Raw genomic sequence first — 3,374 nt, 5'->3', positions numbered from 1 at the left:
TTGTAGAGCCTGCAATTGGATATTTGGAGCCCCTAGCGGCCTATGATGGAAAAGGAAATATCTTCACATAAAAACTACACAGAAGCTTTCTGAGAAACTTCTTTGTGATGTGTGAATTCATCTGCCATAGTCGAACCTTTCTTTTCATTGAGCAGTTTGGTAACACTCTTTTTCTAGAATCTGCAGGTGGATATTTGGAGCGCTTTGAGGCTTATGGCAGAAAAGGAAATATCTTCAAATGAAAAATACAAAGAAGCATTCTGAGAAACTTCTTTGTGATGTGTGCATTCAACTCACAGAGTTGAACCTATTTTCTAATTAAGCAGTTTTGAACATCTCTTTTTGTAGAATCTGCTAGTGGATATTTGGAGCCCTTTGCAGCCTATGATGGAAAAGGAAATATCTTCACCTAAAAACTACACAGAAGAATTCTGAGAAACTTCTTTGTGATGTGTGCATTCATCTCACAGAGTTGAACTTTCCTTTTGATTGAGCAGTTTTGAAACACTCTTTTTGTAGGATCTGCAAGTGGATATTTGGAGTGCTTTGAAGTCTAAGGTGGAAAACGAAATATCTGAACAAAAAACTACACAGAAGCATTCTGAGAAACCTCTTTGTTATTTGGGCATTGAACTCACAGCGTTGAAACTAGCTTTTGATTGAGCAGTTTTGAAACTCTCTTTTTGTAGAATCTGGTAATGGCTATTAGGAGCTGTTTGTGGCCTATGGAGGTAAAGGAAATATCTTCACATAAAAAATACACAGAAGAATTCTGAGAAACTTCTTTTCGATGTGTGCATTCATCTCACAGAGTTGAAACTTTCTTTTCATTAAGCATTTTTGAAGCACCCTTTTTGTAGAATCTGCAAGTGGATAATTGGAGCGCTTTGCGGCCTATTGTGGAAAAGGAAATATCTTCACATAAAAACTACACAGTAGCATTCTGAGAAACTTCTTTGTGATGTGTGCATTCAACTCACAGAGTTGAACCTATCTTTTGATTGAGCAGTTGTGAGACTCTTTTTGTAGAATCTGGAAGTGGGTATTAGGAGCCTTTTGTGTCCTTTGGTGGAAAGGAAAATATCTTCACATAAAAACTACACAGAAGAATTCTGAGACTCTTCTTTGTGATGTGTGCCTCCTCTCACATAGTTGAACGTTTCTTTTGATTGAGCAGTTTTAATACCCTCTTTTTGTAGAATCTGCAAATGGATATTTGGAGTGCTTTGTGGTGTACAGTGGAAAAGCAAATATCTTCACATAAAATCTGCACAGAAGCATTCTGAGAAAGTTCTTTGTGATGTGTGCATTCATCTCACAGAGTGGAACCTATCTTTTGATTGAGTACTTTTGAATCTCTCTTTTTGTACCATCTGCAAGTGGATATTTGGAGCCCTTTGTGGCCTATGGTGGAAAAGGAAATATCGTCACATAAAAAGTACACAGAAGTATTCTGAAAAACTTCTTTGTGATGTGTGCATTCAACTCACAGAGTTGAACCTATCTTATGATTGAGCAGTTTTGAACCACTCTTTCTGTAGAATCTGCAAGTGGATATTTGGAGCACTTTGATGCCTATCGTGGAAAAGGAAATATCTTCACATAAAAACTACACAGAAGCATTATGAGAAACTTCTTTGTGATGTGTGCATTCATCTCACAGAGTTGAACCTTTCTTTTGATTGCGTAGTTTTGAAACACTGTTTTCGTATAATCTGCAATTGGCTATTTGGAGCGCTTTGAGGCCTGATGTGGAAAAGGAAATAACTTCACATAAAAACTACATAGAAATATTCTGACAAAATTCTTTGTGATGTGTGCATTCATCTCACAGGGTTGAAACTTTCTTTTGATTGAGCTGTTTTGGACGTCTCTTTTTGTATAATATGCAAGTGAATATTTTGAGTGCTTTTAGGTGTACAGTGGAAAAGCAAATATCTTCCCGTAAAATATACACAGAAGCATTCTGAGAAACTTCTTTGCTATGTGTGCATTCATCTTGCAGGGTTGAACATTTCTTTTGATTCAGCAGTTTTGAATCTCTCATTTTGTAGGTTCTGCAAGTGGATATTTGGAGCCCTTTGCGGCCTATGGTGGAAAAGGAAATATCTTCACATAAAAACTACACAGAAGCATTCTGAGAAACTTCTTTGTGTTGTGTGAATTCAACTCTCAGAGTTGAACTTATCTTATGATTGAGCCGTTTTGAACCACTCTTTTTGTAGAATCTGCAAATGGATATTTGGAGCGCTTTGAGGCCTGTCGTGGAAAAGGAAATATCTTCACATGAAAACTACACAGAAGCATTTTGAGAAACTTCTTTTCGAGTGTGCATTCATCTGACAGATTTGAACCTTTCTTTTGTTTGAGAAGTTTGGAAACATTCGTTGCAGAGTCTGCAAGTGAATATTTGGGGCGTTTGAGGTCTATGGTGGAAAAGGAAATATCCTCACATAAAAACTAAACAGAAGCATTCTGAAAAACTTCTTTGTGATGTGTGCATTGAACTCACAGAGTTGAACCTATCTTTTGATTGAGCAGTTTTGAATCTCTCTTTTTGTAGAATCTGCAACTGGATATTTGGTGCTGTTTGTGGACTATGGTGGAAAAGGAAATATCTTCACATAAAAACTATACAGAAACTTTCTTAGAATCTTCTTTGTGATGTGTGCATTCATCTCACAGAGTTGAACTTTTCTTTTGATTGAGCAGTTTGGAAACACTCTTTTTGTGGAATCTTCTAGTAGATATTTGGAGGGCTTTGATGCCTATTGTGGAAAAGGAAATGTCTTCACATAAAAACTGCACCAGAAGCATTCTGAGAAACTTCTTTGTGATGTGTCCATTCATCTCACAGAGTTGAGCCTATCTTTTGATTGAGCTGTTTTGAAACACTCTTTTTGTAGAATGTGCAAGTGGATATTTGGAGCACTTTGAGGCCTATGGTTGAAATGGAAATATCCTCACATAAAAACTACACAGAAGCATTCTGAGGAATTCTTTGTGATGTGTACATTCAACTCACAGAGTGGAACATATCTTTTTATTGAGCAGTCTGAATCTCCCTTTTTTTAGAATCTGCAAGTTGTTATTTGGAGCCCTTTGTGGCCTGTGGTGGAAAAGGAAATGTCTTCAAATAAAAACTACACAGAAGGATTCTGAGAAACTTCTTCATGATGTGTGCATTCAACTCATAGAGTTGAAGCTATCTCATGACTGAACAGTTTTGAAACACTCTTTTTGTACAATCTGCAAGTGGATATTTGGAGCACTTTGAGGTATATTGTGGAAAAGGAATATCTTCACATAAAAACTACAAAGAAGCATTCTGAGAAACTTCTTTGTGATGTGTGCATTCATCTCACATAGTTGAA

The 3,374-nt window shown here is 36.7% G+C and overlaps 3 annotated features.

Annotated features, from left to right (window-relative positions):
• Positions 667–1,196: an enhancer, noted in NCBI's record as "OCT4-NANOG hESC enhancer chr5:46324015-46324544 (GRCh37/hg19 assembly coordinates)". NCBI's record gives its function as "activates a minimal SCP1, AML or CMV promoter by ChIP-STARR-seq in primed H9 embryonic stem cells {active_cell/tissue: H9 hESC(primed)}" and the evidence as "EXISTENCE:reporter gene assay evidence [ECO:0000049][PMID:30033119]".
• Positions 1,197–1,726: an enhancer, noted in NCBI's record as "OCT4-NANOG hESC enhancer chr5:46323485-46324014 (GRCh37/hg19 assembly coordinates)". NCBI's record gives its function as "activates a minimal SCP1, AML or CMV promoter by ChIP-STARR-seq in primed H9 embryonic stem cells {active_cell/tissue: H9 hESC(primed)}" and the evidence as "EXISTENCE:reporter gene assay evidence [ECO:0000049][PMID:30033119]".
• Positions 2,257–2,787: an enhancer, noted in NCBI's record as "OCT4-NANOG hESC enhancer chr5:46322424-46322954 (GRCh37/hg19 assembly coordinates)". NCBI's record gives its function as "activates a minimal SCP1, AML or CMV promoter by ChIP-STARR-seq in primed H9 embryonic stem cells {active_cell/tissue: H9 hESC(primed)}" and the evidence as "EXISTENCE:reporter gene assay evidence [ECO:0000049][PMID:30033119]".

Source organism: Homo sapiens, chromosome 5 (genome assembly GCF_000001405.40).
Source record: "Homo sapiens chromosome 5, GRCh38.p14 Primary Assembly".
Classification (NCBI taxonomy): domain Eukaryota; kingdom Metazoa; phylum Chordata; class Mammalia; order Primates; family Hominidae; genus Homo; species Homo sapiens.
The sequence above is the reverse complement of the archived record's forward strand: the minus strand, read 5'-3'. Positions and strand labels throughout refer to the sequence as shown.